At 38.5% G+C, this 25,371-nt stretch overlaps 1 long non-coding RNA gene across 1 annotated transcript in view; it reads left to right on the top strand.

Moving 5' to 3' along the window:
• Window positions 1–1,272: 1,272 nt before the first annotated feature.
• The window catches only part of LINC01748 (long intergenic non-protein coding RNA 1748), a 106,970-nt gene continuing 82,871 nt past the window's right edge, over window positions 1,273–25,371 (top strand). The window contains exons 1-2 of the long non-coding RNA NR_146508.1: window positions 1,273–1,461; window positions 23,708–23,831. This is a non-coding gene — a long non-coding RNA (long intergenic non-protein coding RNA 1748). The remainder of the gene's footprint in view (window positions 1,462–23,707; window positions 23,832–25,371) is intronic.

Below are 25,371 nucleotides of genomic sequence, written 5' to 3'. Positions count from 1 at the left end.
ATAAAGATTTATTGTTAACATAAATTGAGCATTTATCATATTCTAATCACTGTTCCATTAGATTGAACCACATAAAATTGCTGCTCTTTCACCTATCAAATGGCAATTTCATGTGGTTTAACCTAATAGTTGTCTCATTTGATTTCAACAATAGCCTTAGATGCAACTGTTTTTAATGTCATTTGTAGAAGAGGAAATGGAAGCTCAGCAAGATTAAATAATGTGCACAGAATTAAGCAGTCAATAAGGGGGACTTCTCCCCCAACCTCAAACCAAGCAATTCTTCTTCACCATGAAGTGGTGACTCTGATGAAGTGATGTGACACTTTTATTGTCTCCAGTGATGGTAATTTTGAGTTTATTAGTTCAGTCACTTCATTCAGTATACTGAGCACATACTGTAGATGTGAATCATATGTATTCAGCCTTTGAAAGAACAGAAAGGTGGAAAATCAAGCTAGTTAGCCAGAGTTGGGTTTTACAAAAACAGTGAAACAAAACCATCTGAAACTGATTTTTTTTTCATTATCTATGCAGGTAGGTCTTGAAGATTGTTTCTTAAGTTCTCAGAGGTTGGTTATTACTGGAAAAAATTAAGTGTTGATTTCTAAAGTAACTGGACCCTTTGGATAGTGTAGGTTCTTGTGTGTTTGTTCAGTCGTTACTTTCATTGTACCCTCTGCCTGGGATGCTTTGTTCCTAATCACAAGATCTTTTAAGTCTTACCTCTGCGGTCACTCTTTCTGTAGGGATCCTTCATTATTTTCCCTCTGTAAATGAACTGTCCCTCATTTTGGCTCTCATTGCAGTTGTTTTCACTTTTCGTATGTCACCAGTCTCCTTTCCTAAATTATGTTTTATTATCCATTCATCTATTCACCCATCCATCCATCCATTCACCCATCCATCCATCCATCATACTACACATCTATAAATTTCTAGTCAGTGTTAGGGGCCCTGAAGTTGTAGGGGTGAAATGATACAGTTTCCACCCTCAGAGGCTTAATGGGGAGACAGAGAAACAAACAGAACATTTCAGTCAACTATAGGTCTCCTTATTCCAGCTCTAACTCATCTGAAAATGCACTCCTATCAGTGACAGTTGCTCATGATGGCTGTGATTCTGGTGGATGATAAAGATTGGTGGGGAGATAAAAGAGAGAAAGGAAGAAATATGCTCCCTGTGCTCCAGAATGGGGTTGGGAAACACATGATGCATGTCTCTCCAGCCCACTCCAGCCTCCTGAGCTGAGGATCAGCAAGACAGATTATGCAGTGCGTCTTTGCAACAGAGAGGAGGTCTGCTCATCCCACATTTGGAGCACCCGTGGGTGGAGCAGGGAAGATTTCTGGGAAACAGTGTTTGAATTGAATCATGAAAATGAGTAGGAGTCTGCTACATGGGTAAGGGAGGGAAGAAAAGTCAGTAGAGAAGGTAGGCAGTGCTTGCAAAGGCCTGAGGTAAGAGATAGCATGCTGTGTGTCCACGCACGTGTGTGTATGTGTGTGTGTGTGTCTATAAGAAGTCTGCTATGGCTACTTTAAGATGAAAAGTGGAATTTGGCAGGAATTGAGTGGTCAAGAGCAAGCAGTGAGATAATGACATTTTTCAAAAAGATAGCAGTTTGGAGAATGGGGAACGCATATCTTACATCCATCATTAGACTGTGATCTGCTTGAGGGTGGAGATTTTAACCCTGCTTATATCCTGGTATGCCAAGCTCCTAGAATATCACTCCACACGCTTTGGAATTGCACTATAGCCTGGATATCACATTTCTTTCATTCTGAGGTGGCTGGCTTGAGGAGAATGAATGTCAGGAGAATATTGCTAGTTTTTAGGGGAGACACAGGGGAAAGAGAGGCACTGGGATATGAGTGAGAGGAGTCTTTGAAAGAAAAATGAGGCTTAAATCCATTATCACCAGCATTAAAATACAGCATTTCTTCTCTGAATAGTATTTGTTCCTGTTTACTTTCTTCCTTGTGGCATTGAGCTGGGCTGCATTTGCCATTTAGGCATAATTACTATTTTATTATTATTTTTTTTCACAGTTAAGTGGAGCATTTGAGCACAGCTGAATTGCTGGGAGCCTCGGTGGAAGAAATCTATTAGTGATACGGCTTGAAACAATACACAAAAGGCCGCTGCGTGTGGTCTGCCCTCCACGCTTTCAACTTCCTTATGTGGAACAATAAATCTCCGAGTCAGCTAGAACGCAGAGACTCCCATCCAACGAGAGCCGCATTTTTATCTTTTATTCATTGGCAGGAACATTAGCTGTAGGAGGTATTCAAATCACACTTTTATTTAAACAAACACAGCTGGATCGCAGCCTCTTAATATAGCAATTCTCTAATGAAAAATAACAACATAGTATTTATCTCTTTTCTTTTGTGTGACTCTCAATTTGCTAAAATTAGGCAGACTTCAATCCCATACAAAATTGGCATGTTTTCATGACCAGAGCTCATCGCAACTAACTGCAAAATTATAATGGGGATGTAATTATAGGAGGGCATGTGAAATACACATCCTTTTGCTGCTGTAAGCTATATGGGGTTATACAATTATGTTATAATAACATCATTTATCTTAAAGGAGTCAGACAGCTGACTTCATTTATTTAACTTGAGCACTCCAATTATGTGCTGTGTCAGTTTAACATAAATGTCTTGCCCAAAGAACATGGTGTAATAATAATGGTAATAGCAATAATAATAATAGCACACATTTGTATAGGGCTCTACAGAGCACAAAGGGTTTTTACAATTGCTGTCTTGCTGGAGTCTCCTAACAGTCTGTAAGGCAGGCATCGATGCCTGTAATCTTGTGCCCCATTTATTGTTGAGAAAACTGAGGTTCAGAGAAGTGAAGTGATGTTGACAAACCTGTACACTTATTAATAGTAAGTGGAGAGGTAAGAACTTTAAAGTCAAGTTTACTGACTTCGCAGCTGAGGACTATTCACCAGTAGTACCACATTTTGGACAGTGTGACATGTTTGTTCTCATCTCTTATTTCATTTTATCTCACAGTGATCTTTTAAGGCAGGTAGAACAGTCTAGGGTAGTGGGAATCGCAGGTACTAATTCTGTGAGCCTGGACAAATTAAATTATTAGACCCCAGATTTCTTGTCAGAAAAAATAGGGATAATAATACACACGGAGCAGGACTGTTATAAGAATTAATTAATATAATGCTTGTGAAGTGCCTGAACATAGGTGCTCAGAAAATGAATTCATTCCCTCTTCCTGTAGGACAAGAAAAAAATTCCGCTTTGCACATAACATAATTGCTGTGCCTTTTGCTTAACTGACTTACCCAACTCGCCAAGCTGGCGTCAGGGCAGTCACCAACCAAAATTCATGTCTTGTTATTTCAAATTTGCTTGTCATTACTTTTACACATCTTATAATGCCTTCAAATGTTCACTGTTATTTTCAGTTCTTTCTCAATTCTTTACAAAATTCATTTGCTTAAATACCCAAAAGTAGAATAAAATACTTGAACTGAAATCTTAGCACTCTTTGCCTGAAGGTGAGAGACCACAGGTGTAATGGACGAGCAGGATGTGGAGTCAGGAAGCCCGCGTTGGGCCCCCGGCAGTGGCAGTTACTAAGCTATGTGAATTTAGGCCAATCCTCTGACTTAGCTCATCTATAAATGTTATTTCAATCCGAACTTCCTGAGAGGAAGCCTAAAGTACATAATGTTTCTGAGAGAGAAGAAAAAGCTTGTAAAATAATCGACTTAGCTTACCCCATGCTAGTACATTGCTAGAAAGACACTGTCTCATTTAACCTTTATGTCAACTCTGTCGGATATTTTTCCCTGTTTTACAGATGAGGAAATGAATATTAAAAGATTGTCAAAGAGTTATAACATTTATATTTGGTTATTATATTTGTGGTTTGTGGGACTTAATTTTCAAGTTTCTTGACTAAGTAGTTAAATGGGGAAGATGGGTGGGGTCTAGTTGGATGCCTCCAATTTATACAGTTTTGTTTATAAATACAAAGTTTTATAAATGTCACAATTTTCATGATTCCTAGAGGAATGACCAAAAATATAGTTTCCGTAACATCAGTGTTTCAAACTGAGCCAGCAAGGATAAAGTTCCATAACTTAGGAAAATTTTACTTAGTGAAGTCATTTAAGTGTCTGAATTTCAGCTTCAGCCTAGGGGCCTAGGTATTTTGCAAGTGGGTTGGTGCAGGTTCAGAAAGCCAAAATGACTCAGCCAGGAAGGAATATAACAAGATTTTATGTCTGTGTGAATGTGCTCTTTTTATTCCTTCCTTCTTTCTCTGTCTCGTTTTCCCTACTTATCCGTTTATATATTTAATTTGCTAAGATTTGAGTTTTTAAAAAGTCCTATACTTTTACTGCTTTCTTGGAGCTTGCGGTGTATTGGGGGAACATTCTAGTGAGAAACCATTACAGTACAGTGAGATTACAGTGAGGCAGGTGCTACACTAAAGATGAGGGCTAGCTTTAATTTTGGCAAACCAATTGATTTGACATTATCAATTCTGCTTAGAGGATGGCGTCAAGGAGTCTTCACAGATGAGGAGTCTCTTGAGCCGATTTTTTTTGCCAGATGCTTTTAATTTTAAGTAACAGAAAATTTATGTAAACAATATATAAATTTATATAAACAATATATAAAGAGGGGCTTTTATTGTAGAGATTCTGGGGTATTAACATCAAGAATGGCAACATGGCTGGACCTAAGGAAAATCTGGGTCCATTTATTTGAACATTAACATTTGATTTCTCTCCATTTCTCATCTCTGTTTCACTCAGTGCAGATGGTCTCCTCTGTCTCTTGGTCACTTTGACAGGAGGTATTGTCACTGACACTTCTAAAGCTTTATATCTCATAGCCTCAGACACTAAAAGAGGCTGCTTCGATGAACTGTCCACTTTTCAAAGTTCTAAGGCCAAATTTCCTGGGGAAAGGATTCACTGGGTCTCTCTGAGACCAATCAGTCAGAAGTAGCGGTGGGGCAGGCTTACTTAGAAATGGGCAGCTTCCACAGGAGCTTCATCAAAGGAGTGGAAAGGTGGCAACTCCTCAAAGAGGGGACGATTAGACTCACAGACAAGTGGTTCTCAAGGTATAGTCCCTGAGCCCCTGAAGATCTCAAGGCCATTTTAGGGGGTTCATGAGGTCAAAACACTTTTCTTAATAAACCTAAGCTATTATTTTCTTTTTTTCACTCTGTTACCATTTGTATTGATGGTGCAAAAACAATGGTAAGTAAAACTACAGGTGCCAGAGCATGATAAGCAGTACCAAATTATGTAAGTAGTCATTGTATTCTTTAACACCGTGTACTCACAGTAAACAATGCCAGTTCTCTTTAAGAATTCTCTCGAATAATCAGTAAAAAATATTACTTTTATTAAATGTCAACCCTGTATAACACCTTTTTAACATCTGTGGGGCAAAGTAGTTGTGCCATGAAGGTTTTTTGCTCATACTAAAGTACAAAGGCTGCCTTGAAGAAAAGTAGTTGTGTAATTTAGTTGCAAGCTGAACTAGCTGCCTTTTTTCACAGAAAAATCTTTTTATTTGGAAGAATGACATAGAAAAACTATGGCTGTTCAGATCTGGGTGTTAGGCAGACATATTCCTAAAGAAAGTATATTAATTTAAGGAAAACAACTAACACTATTTGTTGGCCATGATAAAATTTGAGCTTTCACACAAAAATCATAATTTTGGAATCTGCCACTGGGAATTTGATGGTTTCCTAATACTTAAAGCCTTTACTGAAAAGATTTGTGGTGACAGTGAAAAATGTAATTTTTTTGATATTGTGTGGTCAATGTATCAATTTTTGGATGATCTACATGGCTCAGTAAATGGGTGTTTTTCAAATGACCCACACATGATGCTATAGAGATCACACATAAATAAAAGGCTCATTTAAGGTTGACCAATGGGTTTTAATGTAACACAATACAAAAAGTTCATCAGTATAGTTTCAGACTCCATATTGCAGCTAATAAGAGGTTATCACTTGTTGAATTTTTGTGCAGATTGAATTAATACCCACAGATTATTCCAAATTTTCTTCATATACTTCAACCAAACCAACATAGCAATACAGATTGAATGTAGATGCAGATATTAAAATCTGTATCCTATGAAACCAAACGTTAGAGAAATTTGCAAAAATGTAAAGCAATGCCAGTTTTTCATGAATTTTTTGAAAATATATTTTTAAATGAAAAATTTTTATATATTTTAGCACATATTACTGTTATTTGAAAATGAATTTCATGTAAATAGTAAAAATTGTTCTCATTTTAAATTTCTACACGGTAAATATTAATAGATATAAATAACATGAGCAAGTCATCTTGCAGTCCCCAATAATATTTAAGAGTAGACTCTGACTCTGAGACCAAAACATTTGAGAACTCCTGCCTTAGATACCCTCCACAGTCTTTAAATATGAACAAAGGCAAGCCAGGTGGGTAAGAGATGGAAGAGCATTCCAGTGAAAAGACAGGAGGCATGAGGCAGTGTGACTTCAGGAGTTTAAGAAGAGATGCAAACGGGAAATGGAGTATGTGGAGTAGATCATGGGGAGATAAAGTTGAAACAAAAAAATTCAGTGCCAGGTTATCTGGAGCCATACAAAGGTTTTAAGTAAGAAATGATGTAATTGGCTTTGGGTTTGGACATGGCATTTTGTTGTCAGTGTGGAAGACAGGTAGGCAATGTGGGTGGAGTGAGGGCTGGATAAAACTAGAGACAGGGAAACAAGTGAGGAGGCTTCTGTCAATAGGCACAGAAAATAAGAGAGACTGAATTAAGGCAATGGTGGTAGGGATGAAAAGGAAGATGCACGTTGTGCAGAATTTTAGGAAACAATTGAAAATAATGCCATCTGGATGGAGGCTATACAGAGTAGATTTAATAGCTGGACCCCTGTAGGAAGTGAGCGATTATAGTAGTTACTATCTCTGGGATTCTTTATTTTAATAAATTAATAATTACTTTAAGAGAGTCAAGTCTAACTCTAAGTCCCAGGCTCCCAAAGTTTACGTTTGCAAAGTGGATGTATTACTTAAGACTAGGTTTAGCTGTGTATAATATTCATAGGAAACACCAAACAATCAATAGTGACTCAAACAAGAGAGGAGTTTGCCCCTCATGCAAAAGATGTTCAGGGCCATTTTCTGCTTTACCACCATCAGTATATTGCTTTCATTCTCAAGGTCACCTCATTGTCCAAGATGGCAGTTGGAACATTACATCATTGTTCCAGGCTGGCAACAGGAAGGAGGAGGATAGGACAAAAGGGCCCAGTTTCCAGTCAAGTCGGTTTCCTTTAGCAGCTTTTCTGCTATTTCTACCACTTTTCATTACTTAGATCTTTTTCATTTTACCACAGTCAGGTGCAAGGAGGATAGGAAACGCAGTCTTTTAGCTAGGTTCATTGCTGTCTCAAATAATTGAGGCTTCTATTACAATGAGAGAAGGGGGAAATGTTTATGAGATTGTATTCAGCAGCCTCTGCCCCAGAGAGCTAGAGTTCTCTTTCCTCTCCCCAGAAATGTCTTTATCTAGAATTACTTGTCTTTTCCTTTTACCATGAGAATTCCTGGGAATGACAAGGACACCTACTTTTTTATTTGGAAGGCTCTTACCTGGCAACTTGAAAGTTCCATAACACAGTCTGAGAACTGAGAATAAATAAATCCCTGGGACGTCTCATTTCTTCTTTTTCTGAGCTACTATAATCATCTTTTTAATTGCTTGTCCCATTTATTTGCATTTTTTTTTACTCCAATTCAACCTACACAGTGTGGCAGGATTAATTTTTCTGAAGTAAATTTCAAGTCATGTTATTTCATTTGTCAAGAATCTTAATTAATTTCTCATAGCCTCCTGAACATTCACAAATGCCCACAAAGCATTCAAAGTCCTCTTGCAATTTTACCAAAAGCGACATTTCCAGGCATACCTCCCATACCATATGCTTTAGCTAAATGGGGCCTAACAAAATATGGAAAACCTAACCTCTGTGGTTTTGCTCAAGTTACTATAGCTTTTACGAATTCTAGCTCTGCAATTGCATAGGACTGCAAAAATTACAGAGGACTTCTTGAATTCCAGTTTCCTCTCAACACCATTTATTGACGAGACATGCCAAGATCCCACTCTGTGACCACAGATACATTCTAAATGTTATGCTTCAAGAGCACATTTTTCTTAGCCAGAGCAATTAGGTAATAAAAATAAATAAAAGGCATTTAAATAAAAAAGGAAGAAGTTAAATGGTCTTTGCCGGCAACATGATCTTATATATAGAAAACCCTTATATATAGAAAACCCTCCACCAAAAAAACCTGATAAAACTAATAAACAAATTCAGTAAAGTTGTAGGACACAAAATCAACATACAAAACCGGTAGCATTCCTGTACAGTAAAAACGAAGCATCTTAAAAAGAAATTAAGAAAATAATCCCATTTATAATAGCATCAAAATATACCTATAAATAAATTTAACTAAGGAGGTTAAAGGTCTATATACTAAAAGCTATAAAATGAATGGTGATGAATGAAATTGAAGAAGATACAAATAAATGGAAGGATATCTTATGTTTATGGATTGGAAGAATTAATATTGTTAAAATGTCCATACTATCCAAAGCAATCTATAGATTCAATGCAATCCCTATCAAAATTCCAATTAAAAAAATCCAATGATATTTTTAACAGAAATAGAAAAAAAACCAATCCTAAAATTTGCATGGTACCATAAAAATCCTCTACTAGCCAAAGCCATCTTGAGCAAAAACAACAAATCTGGTGGCCATCATACTACCTGATTTCAAAATATGTTACAAAGCTACAGTGAGCAAAACAGCATGATACTGGCATAAAACCAGACATAGCAACAAATGAAACAGAATAAGGAGCCCAGAAGTAAACCCACATGTATATAGTCATGATTTTTTACAAAGGTGTTATAATGTATTATTTCCCCAAGAACATGTAATGGGGAAAAGTTAGTCTCTTCAATAAACGCTGATGGGAAAACAGGATATCCACTTGCAGAAGAATGAAATTGGACCCTTTTCTTATACCATATGCAAAAATAAACTCACAATTGATTAAAGACTTGAATGGAAGACCTGAAACTGTAACACTACTAAAAGAAAACATAAGGGAAAACCTTCATTCCTTTGGTCTGGGCAAGGGCTTTTCAATATCACCCCAAGAGCAAAGGCAGCAAAAGCAAAAATAGACAAAGAGGATTGCACCAAAAACAAAGCATCTACACAGAAAAGAAAACAATTAACACAGTGAAGAGACAACCTATGAATTAGAAGAAAATATTTGCAAACCTGGCCGGAAGCAGTGGCTCATGTCTGTAACCCCAGCACTTTGGGAGGCCAAAGCAGGTAAATTGCTTGAGTTCAGGAGTTTGAGACCAGCCTGGGAAACATGGCAAAACCCCATTTCTACAAAAAATACAAAAATTAACAGGGCTTGATGGCACACACCTGTAGTCTCAGGTACTTGGGGGGCGGAGGCAGGAGGATTGTTTGAGTTCAGGAGGTGGAGGTTGCAATGAGCCAAGATCGTGCCACAGCACTCCAGCCTGGGTGACAGTGCCAGAACCTGTCTCAGAAAAAAAAAAAAAAATTGCAAATCATACGTTTGATAATGGGTTAATATCCAAAATATATAAGGGATTCAACAAATTGACAATAAAACAAATAACCAGATCAAAGTTTAAAAATGGGCACATGATCTGAATAGACATTTCTCAAAAGAAGACATACAAAAGGCCAGTGGGTATATGAAAAAATGCTGAACATCGCTAATTATCAGGGAAATGCAAATCAAAACCACAATGAAACATCATCTCACACCTGTTAGGATAATTATTATAAAAAAGATGAAAGATAACAAGTATTGGTAAGGATGTGGAGAAAAAGGAACCTTCCACATTGTCGGTGGAAATGTAAATTAGTACAACCATTAAGGAAAACAGTATGGAGGTTCCTCAAACAATTGAAAATAGAGTTAGCATATGATCCAGCAAGCCCACTTTTGGGCTTCCAGTGGAAATTAAATTAGTATCCCAAAGAGATAACTTCATGTCCATGTTCATTGCAGCATGATTCACGATAGCCAAGATCAGTGTCCATCCACAGATTAATACATTTAAAAAGTGGTATATATGCAAAATAGAATACTGTTCAGCCTTAAAAAAGAAGATATTCTGTCATTTGCAACAACATGAATGAACCTGGAGAACATTATGCTATGTGAAATAAGCCAGGCACAGAAACACAAATACTGCATGATCTTACTTATATGTGAAATCTAAAAAAATCAAACTCAGAAGCAGAAAGTAGAATGGTGGTTACCAGCAGATGGGGACTCAGGGGAATGGGGAGGTGCTTGTCAAAGGATACAGAGTTTCCATTAGATAGGGGGAATAAGTTTTGGAGATCTAACGTACAGCATGGTGGCTATAGTTAATGATAATGTATATTTGAAAATTGCTGAGAGTAGATTTTAAATGTTCTCCCCCAAAAATTAAGTGTGTGAGAGGATAGACATGTTAATTAGCTTAATATAGTCATTTCACAATGTGTACAAAACATCACACTATACCCTCAAAAATATAAATAATCATTATTTTATGTTAATTAAAATGTTAAGAAAAAAGAAAAAGAAAAGATCATCTTCCTTTAACCCATGCTAAACCACCGCTGATAGTCTCAGGGAAGAACATATTGCTTAGAAGTGAAGAGTCTGGCCATGTGCGTAAGTGCTGCTCCCACATCTCTGACATAGAATGCTACATTGTGTCCCTAACCTGAACCCTGAAGTTACTAAGTGGACAGGATTTGTTGTTGCTGTTCACTATTATCCTTGGCTCCTTTTCTGACTCTACTCAACAACCCAAATATTGTTTTGCTTTAAAAGTAGACATTGCCGCATTGTCTGCACACGCACCTTTTTCTTTTATCTAAGTTATATTATTAAACTTACAAACTAACCATTAACAGAAATTAAAGCCCTGGGAAAATTATCAAGTGCCAAGGACTTATTAATAAGGAAAGCTTTGTTTTCACATTGGCAAACTGATAATCCCCTGTGCTCCGGTCTCTTGAAAGTTGTCATGGTATGCAGTCCCTAAAGGGAATCCTGCCTGCTGTACTCCTACCTGCTGTTTTTGGAAATGTGTTGTGGGGACACAGATGGGTAGAATGAGGACATCTGAAATCTGTTCTCTACTTTTACCCAAGATCCACAATAAGGTATAATATAAATTGTTCTGGCAGTCGATTCAGAGAAAATTCCCATGTGTGTACTATGAAATTTGTAGGACACTCAGCAAGGCTTTTAATATTTTGAGCCTGAATTTCCTCATCAATATTTGGAAATTGGCACCTGTAGAACAATTCACTTTTCACCCTGCCAATAGCCATTTAAGAAAGTAGGGCATTTCTTGTTAATATCACCATTTAAAAGGCTCAGACTTGTTAAATAATTTATTTAATATTGTTTTCTAACTTAGGGTAAGTAAATGTCCATTCTGAGATTCAATTCTACCTCCACTGGTTTCAGTTTTATCATCTATAGAACATATTATAATGTTATATTACAAGACAATTTTGGGTACTAAATGAGACAAAATATGTGGAAATTTCTGGTGCCTGGTAAGTGCTCACTAGGACTGGTTTTGAGAAATGCAGCTAAATTAAAATGGAGGTCTTGCAAATGACTAGCTTCAAAGCTCTGTTATGGAGACATGTATTATTTCTCAAACATTTTCTGAGACTACCTACCATCTGCCCTGTTATGTGCTGTGTACTGGGGTTACAAAGATTAATAAGCCATGACTCCTGCTATTAATGGAGTACATGAGTTAATGTATAGAACAGTGCTTGGCACAGAGTAGGACCCAATAAAAGTAAGTTTTGCTATAATAATAATAATAATTTCATATTGTTGTTCTTGTTGTTATATCTGCCTTTTCCATGGTCCCCCAGAAAATAGCATCTGGGCCAAGATTAACTGCTGATGCTCTCTCTGGGAGCTGTAAAGATAGGGCAATAAAAATGGGGGAAAAGAAATTGAGTCAGGGAAGTATAGGAAGCAGTGCAGTGTGATGTATTCAGCAGATAGCTTGTTGGAGGTGCTTGTTTGGCCTTGCAGAATGCCTCTGGAGAGGCTGTAAAGAGAAAGCACACCAGAGAACAGTACTTGAGAAGAAGGAAGAGGGAGTTTATCTGTTTGGCTCTCTCCAATCTTTTCCTTTTCCCTACTATTCAAACTTTGCCCCCAAAGATATCAATTCCTCTGCGCTTTCCAGGTACATTATTTGTCTTCCTGGGTGGCTTTTGGGAAACTAGATCCTGAATTCTATGGTAGGGTATTTCATCTAAGGGCAGAAATGGCTGGAGAGACAGAAACACTGGACACATGGCTGGTCAGCCTGGTTGTGTGGTGTCTGTTACAGAAGAGAGTCCAGCTTTCCTGAGCAAGTATATGTTTAGCTTCATTTGGTAGAACCACACAGACCTGTACTAAGTGTGTCAATACAACAATGCCAATGCAAAACAAATATCCAAAGGCCTCTGAGATGGGTGAAGCCAAGGGAATCTAAATCTGACCCAAGATGTCCCATCTGTTCCCCTCCTGGGCCATTCCAATCCCCCCTTGCCCTCTTATATCTGGCTCTTGTACTACAATATGGGGTCTCCCCCGAGTATTTTTTTTTTTTGGTGTTCTTATTCCTTCCCAAAGAGGGAAGAACAGGTCCAATCACTGGTAGAATCCTCCTCTAGATTGTTTGTCATTTGTTGTCTGCAAGACTTAAGCCACGAAGCTTACAGAAACAAAGTATAGTTTCTGCTGCTGAAACTGATGCTGAGGCCGTGAACGACATTTATTATCTCCATCCTTTATCATTTTAGATTTCCCTCACCATTGGCCAATATTTCAGTTAGTCCAGTTAGTTGCCTGTTGGGATAAGACAGACCCTCATTGCTGATGGAAATAAGCCCTTACTTGCCCAACTCTGGTGGGGTTTGTGGTTACTGTCATTGCCCATTGATGATTATTAGTCAGCATGGAAATATTAAAAGACCCTTCAGTGAATTGCCTGAGTTCCACATATACTCTTCCCTGCTGCGTTTATGACATAGTAACGTCTTTCTTTGTCTACAGTTCCACTGAAAAGATGTGCTTAAAGTAGGCACGTCATAATTACAGTGTTTCCAGTTTAGTGGAACCATTATTTAATTCTCTGGTGGATGTGTACCCTATACTCAAGAACAAAGTTGTGGGAGAAGGAAGCACAATCTTGCAAGTAGGTCCCTGGATGTGAGAGTGGGCATACTTACTTTCACCCCTTGATACCTGACCCATACACTGTAGCTATTGTAGATTCAGTGCCATGTATAGTTTTTTTTGATTCAGTACATATTCCATATTCTGGAAGTTGGGAAGCAAGGCAAGGTGATGTGTTACTCATCATCGGTTGCTTCACAAACACCATAAATATTGACCTCAGATCTCTCAGCAGTTGGGTCCACTTGGCCCCATGAAACATTTCTCAGCAGGATGTACAAAGAGCCCAGATTTCAGAGCACTCCCAGAGAGGACAGAAGGAGAGACATTTTACTTGCTTGGTTCCTTTCTTTATCTCACTGGTTAAAGTTCACCTTCTTGGGAGTTAATTTATGCACATTTCTAGGTTGTGTCATTTAGTTCTTTAATATATCGTTATTGGCAGTTAGCATTATAAGTACTGCTATTATCATCCATAATTATCAGTCTGTCTATGCCAGGAGAGAGAGGTGCATAACTTTACATTTGTATCTGTATCTATATCTCTATGTATCATGGTAAATACGTGACAAATATATGTAATGTGAATGTTGTTTCTCTGAGCAGGAAGATTTAATCATGTTGGGGATCTGAGGCATTAGCTAAGATATGGAGAAAGGGATTGCTTGGAAAGTGAATTCCAGGCACAGGAATAGCATGAACAAAGACCCCGAGGCAAGATATACTGAGAAATGTGCAGGAAGGCAGGGTTTTCCAGTTAAGTAGGAGCAACGTCATATAGGATCCTAAATTTCTATTGAGAACCTTGAAACCATTCAAACATTGGCAAGTTGCTCATTGTTATCCTTCCTGTGCTTCAAATTCCTCATTCACATCATAGAATAATAATGATGCCTACCCAACTTTTTTATTGCTAGCCATGGAGCAAGCAAGCATTCATTAAAAGTTATGCATTATTAGGCATCAGGAAGTCATGAAGTATTCTCAGTGGCAGAGTGACATGGTCAGATTTATGCCATTGGTGTAGAGAATGGATTGGAGGGCATGAGGGTCAGATGCAGAGAGACTAGTTATTTGTTGATATAATATTGTAATAGCCCCAGGGGGTGATGGTGACCTAAACTAGTCCACAGTCAGTGGGAAAGTAGAGGAACTATTCAGATGGCAAAAGGTACAGGACTTGATAGGTAATTGATTGAAACTAGTGAATGAGGGGGAGGGCGGACTCAAAGATCACACCCAGGTTTTGACTTGGGTGACTTGGTGACTATAATGAAATAAAGTAAGAGAAATACAAAAGGAATAGAGAACAGAGAGTGTTCAGAAGGAGGGCATCATCAACAGTGCTGAACTGGAAAGGGCCAGTAAGCAAGGACTGAAATGCCTCCATTGTGTTTGTATTCATGATCTTTGTGATAGCACTTCCCAGAAGTCATCATTATTATTATCCCTTCTTTACGGAAGAAAACACTGAGGCTCAGAGTTGTTTTGTGAGCCCATAAGGTCACACAGCTGGTTGGGTGCAGCATTCAGTGTGGGTATTCATAGATTGAAAGTAACAACAACAGCAACAACAGCAAGAACAACACTCTTATTGAGTGTCCACTGTGGGACAGGCCCTGTACTAGGTGCTGGGAAGCCAAGAAAAGTACAACAGCTCCTGCCTTCAAGGAGACCACTGTTTTGGAAGCCACATAAGAAAAATACATTTAAATTTATCACAGAGCTGTGGACAGAGTAAGGGGGCAGGTGGCACAAAGAAGTTTTGTGCTTGTGCTGGGGACATGGAAAAGATTTTGAAGTGGTGCTGTTGTTTTAGCTGACTCTTGGAAGAGGAGTAGGGATTTTCCAGGTCAATAGCCAGTGTGAGTTAGGGAAAAGGGCAAGGAGACAAGTTGGAATTTCAGGTTAGGGAACAGCAAGTGCAGAGGCAGGAGGATGAGAAAGAGCCTGGCATCCCCAGGAAACCCAAGCACTTCAGTATGGCTAGAGGTAGGCTGGGGCTGCTTACTGGGTGTTTGAAAAGCCACATTAAGAATTTTGACCTTGTCTTGCAGACCAGAGGCTCTTAATGGGTAAGTTTCAGAAGGTCCATGAAGTCCCTGAAATCTTACTCGTAATTCTCTACAGATCCCAGTTGTTTCAGAAGTTGAGGGAGGGACTTCAAGAAGAAGGTAGTGAGTGGTTATCAATGTCAAATTTGAAAACAGATATACATCTTATTCTTCTCAGGAGTTAATTGTATTTTATAGACAAAACTCTATGCAATCTTCAGATTGTTGAACACTTCCTACTCTGCCAGGCAGTCAGTGTGGGTCCTCTGAGAATCAGACAATTAGATGTGCAAGAGATTTATTGCGGGAAATGCTAACGAAAGGTAAAAAGGGAGGAAGCAAAAGGCAGGAGAAACATTCAGACTGTGAGTCAGATACAACAACTATGAAGGGAGAGGAAGAAAGATTGGGCAGGAAGAGCCTCAGGCAGGAAGAGCCTCAGACAGGGCACATCTTTGAGTGGGATTTCGCTAGGCTGATTGGGAGTTGCCACGCAAAAGTTGCCCATTAGAAAAGTCCTGTTTGGGAGCATTAAAGACCTGAATCTCATATCTCTCCTACCATGCTCAGTCAGTGGCTAAGAGCAGCTTAGAGGAAGTATGGCATCACAGCCAAATCAATATCACATCAAATTCCAAAGTGTGGCAACAGTAGGCTGCCAGTCAACTACACTCCCCACAGCAGGTTCTTTAAAAGGGAGGTTTGACTCCGCTACACAATATTTCAGATTGACAAAAACCTAATGTGACAGAGTATTGATTGGTTACTGAATGTTGTTGCTCTGAGCAGGGAGAGTTAATCCTGTTGGGGATCTGAGGCGTTAGCTAAGATATGGAGAAAGGGATTGCTTGGAAAGTGAATTCCAGACACAGGAATAGCATGAACAAAGACCCCGAGACAAGATATACTGGGAAATGTGCAGGAAGGCAGGGTTTTCCAGTTAGGTAGGAGCAACATCATATAGGATCCTAAATTTCTGTTGAAAACCTTGAAACCATTCAAATACTGGCAAGTTGCTCATTAACTTGAAGCACAAATTATGTGCCAGAATTATGAATAGAGTCTGCACTGAGGACAAAGATTGCAGTTCCCCCCATGTTTTTTTTTCTTTTTATTATACTTTAAGTTCTGGGATACATGTGCAGAACGTGCAGATTTGTTACATAGGTATACACGTGCCATGGTGGTTTGCTGCACCCATCAACCCATCATCTACATTAGGTATTTCTCCGAATGCTATCCCCCACTAGCTCCCCAATCCCTGACAGGCCCCAGTGTGTGATGTTCCCCTCCCTGTGTCCATGTGTTCTCATTGTTCAACTCCCACTTATGATGAGAACATGTGGTGTTTGGTTTTCTGTTCTTGTGTTAGTTTGCTGAGAATGATGGTTTCCAGCTTCATCCATGTTCCTGCAAGGGACATGAACCCATCCTTTTTTATGGCTGCGTAGTATTCCATGGTGTATATGTGTCACATTTTCTTTATCCAGTCTATCATTGTTGATTGGTATTTTGATTGGTTTCAAGTCTTTGCTATTGTGAACAGTGCTGCAATAAACTTATGTGTGTGAAGTGTCTATATAGTAGAATGATTTATAATCCTTTGGGTATGTATCCAGTAATGGGATTGCTGGGTCAAATGGTATTTCTTGTTCTAGATCCTTGAGGAATTACCACACTGTCTTCCGCAATGATTGAACTAATTTACACTCCCATCAACAGTGTAAAAGCGTTCCTATTTCTCCACATCCTTTCCAGCATCTGTTGTTTCCTGACTTTTTAATGATCACCATTCTAACTGTGTGAGATGGTATCTCATCGTGGTTTTGATTTGCATTTCTCTAATGACCAGTGATGATGAGCTTTTTTTCATGTTTGCTGGCTGCATAAATGTCTTGTTTTGAGAAGTGTCTGTTCATATTCTTTGCCCACTTTTTGATGGGGTTGTTTGTTTTTTTCTAGTAAATTTGTTTAAGTTCTTTGTAGATTCTGGATATTAGCCCTTTGTCAGATGGATAGATTGCAAAAATTTTCACCCATTCTGTAGGTTCCCTGTTCACTCTGATGATGGTTTCTTTTGCTGTGCAGAAGCTCTTTCCTTTAATCAGATCCCATCTGTCAATTTTGGCTTTTGTTGCCGTTGCTTTTGGTGTTTTAGTCATGAGGTCTTTGCCCATGCCTATGCTCTGAATGGTATTGCTTAGGTTTCTTCTAGGGTTTTTATGGTTTTAGGTCTTATGTTTAAATTATTTAATCCATCATGAGTTAATTTTTGTATAAGGGGTAAGGAAGGGGTCCAGTTTCAGTTTTCTTTATTAGTCTGGCTAGAGGTCTATTTTGTTGATCTTTTCAAACAACCAGCTCCTGGATTCATTGATTTTTTTGAAAGGTTTTTCATGTCTCTATGTCCTTCAGTTCTGCTCTGATCTTAGTTATTTCTTGTCTTCTGCTAGCTTTTGAAGTTTGAAACCTTCTGCCAGTTTTTCCAACACCATTTATTAAATAGGGAATCCTTTCCCCATTGCTTGTTTTTGTCAAGTTTTTCAAAGATCAGGTGGTGGTAAATGTGCGGCATTATTTCTGAGACCTCTGTTCGGTTCCATTGGTCTATGTATCTGTTTTGGTACCAGTACCATGCTGTTTTGGTTACTGTAGCCTTGTAGTACAGTTTGAAGTCAGGTAGTGTGATGCCTCCAGCTTTGTTGTTTTTGCTTAGGATTGTCTTGGCTATATGGGCTCTTTTTTGGTTCCATATGAAATTTAAAGTAGTTTTTTCTAACTCTGAAGAAAGTCAGTGGTAGCTTGATTCGGATAGCATTGAATCTATAAATTACTTTGGGCAGTATGGCCATTTTCATGATATTGATTCTTCCTATCCATGAGCATGGAATGTTTTGCCATTTGTTTGTGTCCTCTCTTATTTTCTTAAGCAGTGGTTTGTAGTCCTCCTTGAAGAGGTCCTTCACATCCCTTGTAAGTTGTATTCCTAGGTATTTTATTCTTTTTATAGCAATTGTGAATGGGAATTCACTCATGATTTGGCTCTCTGTCTATTATTGGTGTATTTGAATTCTTGTGATTTTTGCACATTGATTTTGTATCCTAAGATTTTGCTGAAGTTGCCTATCAGCTTAAGGAGATTTTGGGCTGAGATGATGGGGTTTTCTAAATATACAATCATGTCATCTGCAAACAGAGACAATTTTACTTCCTCTCTTCCTATTTGAATACCCTTTATTTCTTTCTCTTGCCTAATTGTCCTGGCCAGAACTTCCAATACTATGTTGAATAGGAGTGGTGAGAGAGGGCATCCCTGTCTTGGGCTGGTTTTCAAAGGGAATGCTTCCAGCTTTTGCCCATTCAGTATGATATTGGCTATGGGTTTGTCATAAATAGCTCTTGTTATTTTGAGATATGTTCCATCAATACCTAGTTTATTGAAAGTTTTTAGCATGAAGGGGTGTTGAATTTTATCAAAGGCCTTTTCTGCATCTATTGAGATAATCATGTGGCTTTTGTCATTGGTTCTGTTTATGTGATGGATTACATTTATTGATTTGCGTATGTTGAACCAGCCTTGCATCCCAGGGACAAAGCCAACTTGATCGTGGTGGATAAGCTTTTTGATGTGCTGCTAGATTTGGGTTGCCAGTATTTTATTGAGAATTTTTGTATTGATGTTCATCAGGGATATTGGCCTGAAATTTTCTTTTTTTGTTGTGTCTCTCTCAGGTTTTGGTATCAGGATGATGCATGCCTCATAAAATGAGTTTTTCTATTGTTTGAAATAGTTTCAGAAGAAATGGTACCGGCTGCTCTTTCTACCTCTGGTAGAATTCTGCTGTGACTCTGTCTGGTCCTAGACTTTTTTTGGTTGGTAGGCTATTAATTACTGCCTCAATTTTAGAACTTGTTATTGGTCTATTCAGGGATTTGACTTCTTCCTGGTTTAGTCTTGGGAGGGTGTATGTGTTCAGGAATTTATCCATTTCTTCTAGATTTTCTAGTTTATTTGCATAGAGGTGTTTATAGTATTCTCTAATGGTAGCTTGTATTTCTGTGGGATCAGTGGCAATATCCCCTTTATCATTTTTTATTGTGTCTATTTGATTCTTCTCTCTTGTCTTCTTTATTAGTCTGGCTAGAGGTCTATCTATTTCGTTGATATTTTCAAACAAACAGCTCCTGGATTCATTGATTTTTTTTTTTTTTTTTTTTTTTTGAGACGGAGTCTCGCTCTGTCGCCCAGGCTGGAGTGCAGTGGCGCAATCTCGGCTCACTGCAAGCTCCGCCTCCCGGGTTCACGCCATTCTCCTGCCTCAGCCTCCCAAGTAGCTGGGACTACAGGCGCCCGCCACTACGCCCGGCTAATTTTTTGTATTTTTAGTAGAGACGGGGTTTCACCGTTTTAGCCGGGATGGTCTCGATCTCCTGACCTCGTGATCCGCCCGCCTCGGCCTCCCAAAGTGCTGGGATTACAGGCGTGAGCCACCGCGCCCGGCCCATTGATTTTTTTGAAAGGTTTTTCATGTTTCTATCTCTTTCAGTTCTGCTCTGATCTTAGTTATTTGTTGTCTTCTGTTAGCTTTTGAATTTGTTTGCTCTTGCTTCTCTAGTTCTTTTCATTGTGATGTTAATGTGTCGATTTTAGAACTTTCCTCTTTCTCCTGTGGGCATTTAGTGCTATAAATTTCCCTCCAAACACTGCTTTAGCTGTGTTTCCGAGATTCTGGTACCTTGTGTCTTTGTTCTCATTGGTTTCAAGTAACTTGTTTATTTCTGCCTAAATTGCGTTATTTACCCAGTAGTCATTCAGGAGCAGGTTGTTCAGTTTCCATGTAGTTGTGCTGTTTTGAGTGAGTTTCTTAATCCTGAGTTCTAATTTTATTGCACTGTGGTCTGAGAGACTGTTTGTTATGATTTCTGTTCTTTTGCATTTGCTGAGGAGTGTTTTACTTCCAATTATGTGGTCAATTTTAGAATAAGTGCAATGTGGTGCTGAGAAGAATGTATATTCTGTTGATTTGAAATGAAGAGTTCTGTAGATGTCTCTTAGGTCTGCTTGGTCCAGAGCTGAGTTGAATTCCTGAATATCCTTGTTAATTTTCTGTCTCATTGATCCATCTAATATTGACAATGGGGTTTATGTACCACTAAGAGAGGGAAAAATGCTTACAATAAAACCATGATATATCATTTATTGAAAACCACATCGTTATTTCAGAAATGTTGATGCCTGAAAGAACATATATTAGAATTTATGAAATATGGTGATGAGTTTTCCAGAAACATTATCTAATACATTATTATAATTATACTTGTAATTGTTGTAATTATTTGTAGACATCACCAGGAGAAGATAAACAGACAAAATCAGGGTGTATTAATCCATTTGGGCTGCCGTAACAAACTACCATAGATGGGGTGGCTTATAAACAACAGATAAATTTCTCACATTTCTGGAGGCTGGGATGTCCTAGGTTAAAGCACCAGCAGATTTGGTGTCTGATGAGGGCCTGCTACCTGGTTCACAGACAGCCATATTCTTGCTTTGTCCTCAACATAGCTGAGGGTCCCAGGGAGCTCCCTCGGGTCGCTTTTATTAGAGCACTCATCCTATTTATGAGGGCAGAGCCCTCCTAAAGCTCTCATTTCTAGTACCATCATGATGGTGATTAAATTTTAATTTAAGAACTTTGGGGGAACAAAAACATTCAGTCTATAGCATAGATAAGATCAAAGATGGCTTCCCTTTTCTATAAGGTAACCATTTATACAAGAAGACTTTGATTTCCTCTACTGTTTTTGGATCTTTATTAAACTCTGGAATAATTATACTTGGAAGAGCAAATGTAAGACTACAGGGCTTTCTTATACAGTTATGCATATAAGATTTGCATATGTAATTCAGAGCTTTCTTATATGGTTGTGGAAATTGTGCACTGGACAACTATAGGGAGAGTGGTTAACATGGTATACCATATGAATCTTGCTCCCTAGGGTTGAGCATTGCATATCCTGTGTGAATTCATGTGGTTGGCCTGCACAAATCTCATAGCTAAGTCTATGCAGCCTCATCTCTGATCCTTTTTTCTGATAAGCCAGCATCACAGCACAAGACTTCTGCTGGGAAAAGAGGGAATGGATGAGTTTGCAATCAATTTTGAGATTAAAGTTTAAGTTGTACATTTAGTAATGAAAAATGACTAGAAATGATAAAATCTACCTAAGATATTGCAAAGAAATTGGAAAGGATGATTTGTCAGAATGTGGCTAAAGGTGTTAACGGCAAAAAAAGAAAATATATTCGTGTTTTTACCACATCATATTGAGAATCCTCAATAATATGGTTATATAAAATTGAGAGAAAAACATGTCTTTTGACTCAGAGAAATCTTCATTCTTCCTAAGACAGACAGACATATGATAATGAATTAAGTACTACTGGAGAGAAGGGTTCCAGTAGGTGCAAGGAGGGGGTAGGGATTAGTCCTGAGCGGGCAGCAGAGGAGACTTCTTTGAAAAGCTGACATTTTATTTTTTATTTTTTCAAAAAAATTTTTTTAAATTTTAGATTCAGATGGTACATGTGCAGGTTTGTTACATAAATATATTGCATCATGCTGGGATTTGGGCTTCTATGGAACCCACCAACCAAATAGTAAACACAGTACACAATAAATAGCTTTTCAACCATTTCTATTCTCCCTTCTTCTCCCCTTTTGGGGTCCCCAGTGTCTATTGTCTCCATCTTTATGTCTGTATGTACCCATTGTTTAGTTTCCACTTATACGTCAGAAGATGTGGTATTTGATTTTCTGCTTTTGTGTTAGTTCATTTAGGATAACTACAGCTGCATCCATATTGCTGTAAAGTACATGATTTCATTCTTTTTATGGCTGAATAGTATTCCATGGTGTACATGTACAAAATTTACTTAATCTAATCCATCATTGATGGGCATCTAGGTTGATTCCATATTTTTCTTGTTGTGAATAGTGCTGTGCTGCGGTGAACAACATATGAGTGCATGTGTCTTTTTGGCAGAATGATTTATTTTCTGTAGGATATATACCCAATAATATGATTGCTGGGTTGAATGATAGTTTTATTTATAGTTCTTTGAGAAATTTCCAAAGTGGCTGAACTAATTTACATACCCACCAACAGTGTATAAGCATTCCCTTTACTTTGCATCCTCACCAACAGCTTTTATTTTTGACTTTTTAATAATAGCTATTCAGACTGGTGAGAGATGGTATTCCACTGTGGTTTTGATTTGGATTTCCCTAATGATTAGTGATGCTGAGCATTTTTTCATATGTTTGTTGGCTAAAAAGCTGATATTTCATTTCATTTTTTTAAAGGTTTATGTTAGGTTCGGGGGTACATGTGAAGGTTTGTTACATAGGTGAACTTGTGTCACAGGGGTTTGTTGTACAGCTGATTTCATCACCCATGCAAAAAGCCCAGTACCCAATAATTATTATTTGTGCTTCTCTTCTTCCTCCCACCCTCCACCCTCAAGTAGACCCCAGTGTCTTTCATTCCCCAAAAGCTAACATTTTAAACCAGCCCAAAATATAATAATTTTAATCTGAAGTGGCATGTGATTTCTGTTAATGATAAAAAAGATAACATTTGAAAAGGAGTCCTTTTGATAACCCATGTATTAAGGACTAAATGTTTGTACCTTCTCCCACCCCCAGAATCATATGTGAAACCCTAACAACCAATGTGAATGTATTTGGAGATAGGGTCATAAGCAGATGGTAGAGTTTAAATGAGGTCATAAGGGTGGAGCCCTAATCTGATAGAGCTGTTGCACTTTTCAGAAGAGGAAGAGATACTGGAACGTGTCTCTGTCTGTGTGCATTCAGAAAGAAGGCCATGTGATACAGTTTGGATGTTGCCTCCAACCAAATGTCATGTCAAAATGTAATCTTCAGTATTGGAGGGGAGGCATGGTGGGGGGAGATTGGGTCCCCCCACCCAGTGGAGGCAAGTTTCTCATGAATGGTTTAGCACCATCCCCCTTGGTACTGTCTTCACAATAGTGAGCTCTCATGATATTTGGTCATTTAAAAGTGTGTAGCACTTCCCCCTTCACGTTCTCTTGCTCCTGCTCTGGCCATGTGACATGCCTATTCCCTCTTCACCTTCTGGCATGACTGTTAAGTTTCCTGTGGCCTCCCTGGAAGCTGAGCAGATTCCATCATCATGCTTCCTGTACAGTCTGCAGAACCATGAGCCAATTAAGCCTCTTTTCTTTATAAATTACCCAGTCTGAGGTACTTCTTTATAGCACTGCAAGAATGGACTAATACGCTATGTGAAGACAAAGGGGATGTCTGCAAGCCAGGACGAGTGCGTCTACCAGAAACTGAGTTCTGCTGGACTTTGATCTAGGACATCCAGCCTCCAGAATGGTGAGAAAATAAATTTTTATTATTTAAGCCACTCAGCGTGTGGTATTTTGTTATGGTAGCTCAAGTAGATTAATGCACCACATCTACTCTGTTTTCTGGCTCTATTCAACTAATTTTAGGCCATAACAATAATATTAATTCATAATTCCCCAACAATACAGAATAGTTTAGTTTTTGCCTTGCTTTTTATCCATCAGATTTCATTAGATTCTCACAATAGGCCAGTGAAATGTAAGTTATTTTCACTGGGCTATTTATAAATGAAAAAATTTTGAGACTCAGAGTTTCAGCTAATAAGTTGCTCTAGGTTCATTGCTATTTCTACTCAAATCCAAACACTGTTTTAGCCAGGACAAGGGTCAGAAGCTCAGCAACTCTAAATCATAACAGCTGCATATCTCCTCCCCACCTAAATATTATGGCGATTTTACAGGGAAAAAAATGAAATAAGATTTTTTTTCTCAGAAGAGCAAAGCTTCCAGAGTTTTAGCAACTCTTTGAAGCCTAATGCCATAAAGTTGTTGACTTTATGGGGGTGTGTGGTGGGAGGGAAAGTAGAAGAAACACTTATTATAGTGACTGTAAAGAATAATCCTAGAACATATTTGATCTATCTTCTATATGAACTATTCTTTCCAAAGATGTATGTTCCAAGCCATTATATTAAAACATCAGTTAAGAGCCTTATCAGGTATGGTAATGCCTCAGATGGAATTTGGAAAGTGCAATTATTAGGGTGCAAAGACAGCTTCAAAACCACCAAGCAATCACACTCAGTCAATTATGATGTTGAAGTGAAAATAGCAGCAATTGGCATTTGGAACTGTCATCTGGAAATTCTTGTTTGTGTTAATTCAGGGGCACAATTTTTATAGCAGGAATGATAACTCTATTTCTGGAGGGCCCTCCTATCTTGCAGATTATGATAATCTCTGAACCAACCTACAGTCCCTGAGACTACAATTCTGGGAAGGCTCTCTGCTAATGCTCCCCTACTGTTTTTTTTTTCCACCATTCTTCAAGCTGTATTTAACATTAATTTGCTCTCTGGATTGGTTATTGATTACACTGGAGTACATGGAGAAGCTGGCTAAGAGGCAACACTCTTTACAAAGTTCATTCACTTAAGTTTACAGAGGATGTAGGTGGGTCTGATCTGCTGGAGTCAAAGGATTTAAGGAAAAACGGGCTTTCCCTAAGAGTAGCTAGCCTTGTACGTTAGCTTATTCCAGGTGAAATGAATAGGGCTCCTGATTGTATGAAGCCATGTGAAATTTACAAAATACTTTCTCAAACATGATCTTGATTTTTCTTTCTTCCCTCTTTCCTTCTCTCCTTCCCTCCTCTCTTCCCTCTTTTTCTTACCTCTTTCCGTTCTTACCTCCCTCTCTCCCTACTTCTTTTCTATTCTTCCTCTCTTTCTCCTTCCTTCCTTTCCCTCCCCTCTTCTCCCCTCCCCTTCCCTTTTTTCCTTTCCCTTCCCTCCCTTCTCCCCCTTCCCTCCCGTCCTCTTCTCTCTCCTCCCCTTTCCTTCTTTTCC

This window comes from Homo sapiens, chromosome 1 (assembly GCF_000001405.40).
Source record: "Homo sapiens chromosome 1, GRCh38.p14 Primary Assembly".
Classification (NCBI taxonomy): Eukaryota; Metazoa; Chordata; class Mammalia; order Primates; family Hominidae; genus Homo; species Homo sapiens.
This window is presented reverse-complemented; position numbering and strand designations above follow the sequence as displayed.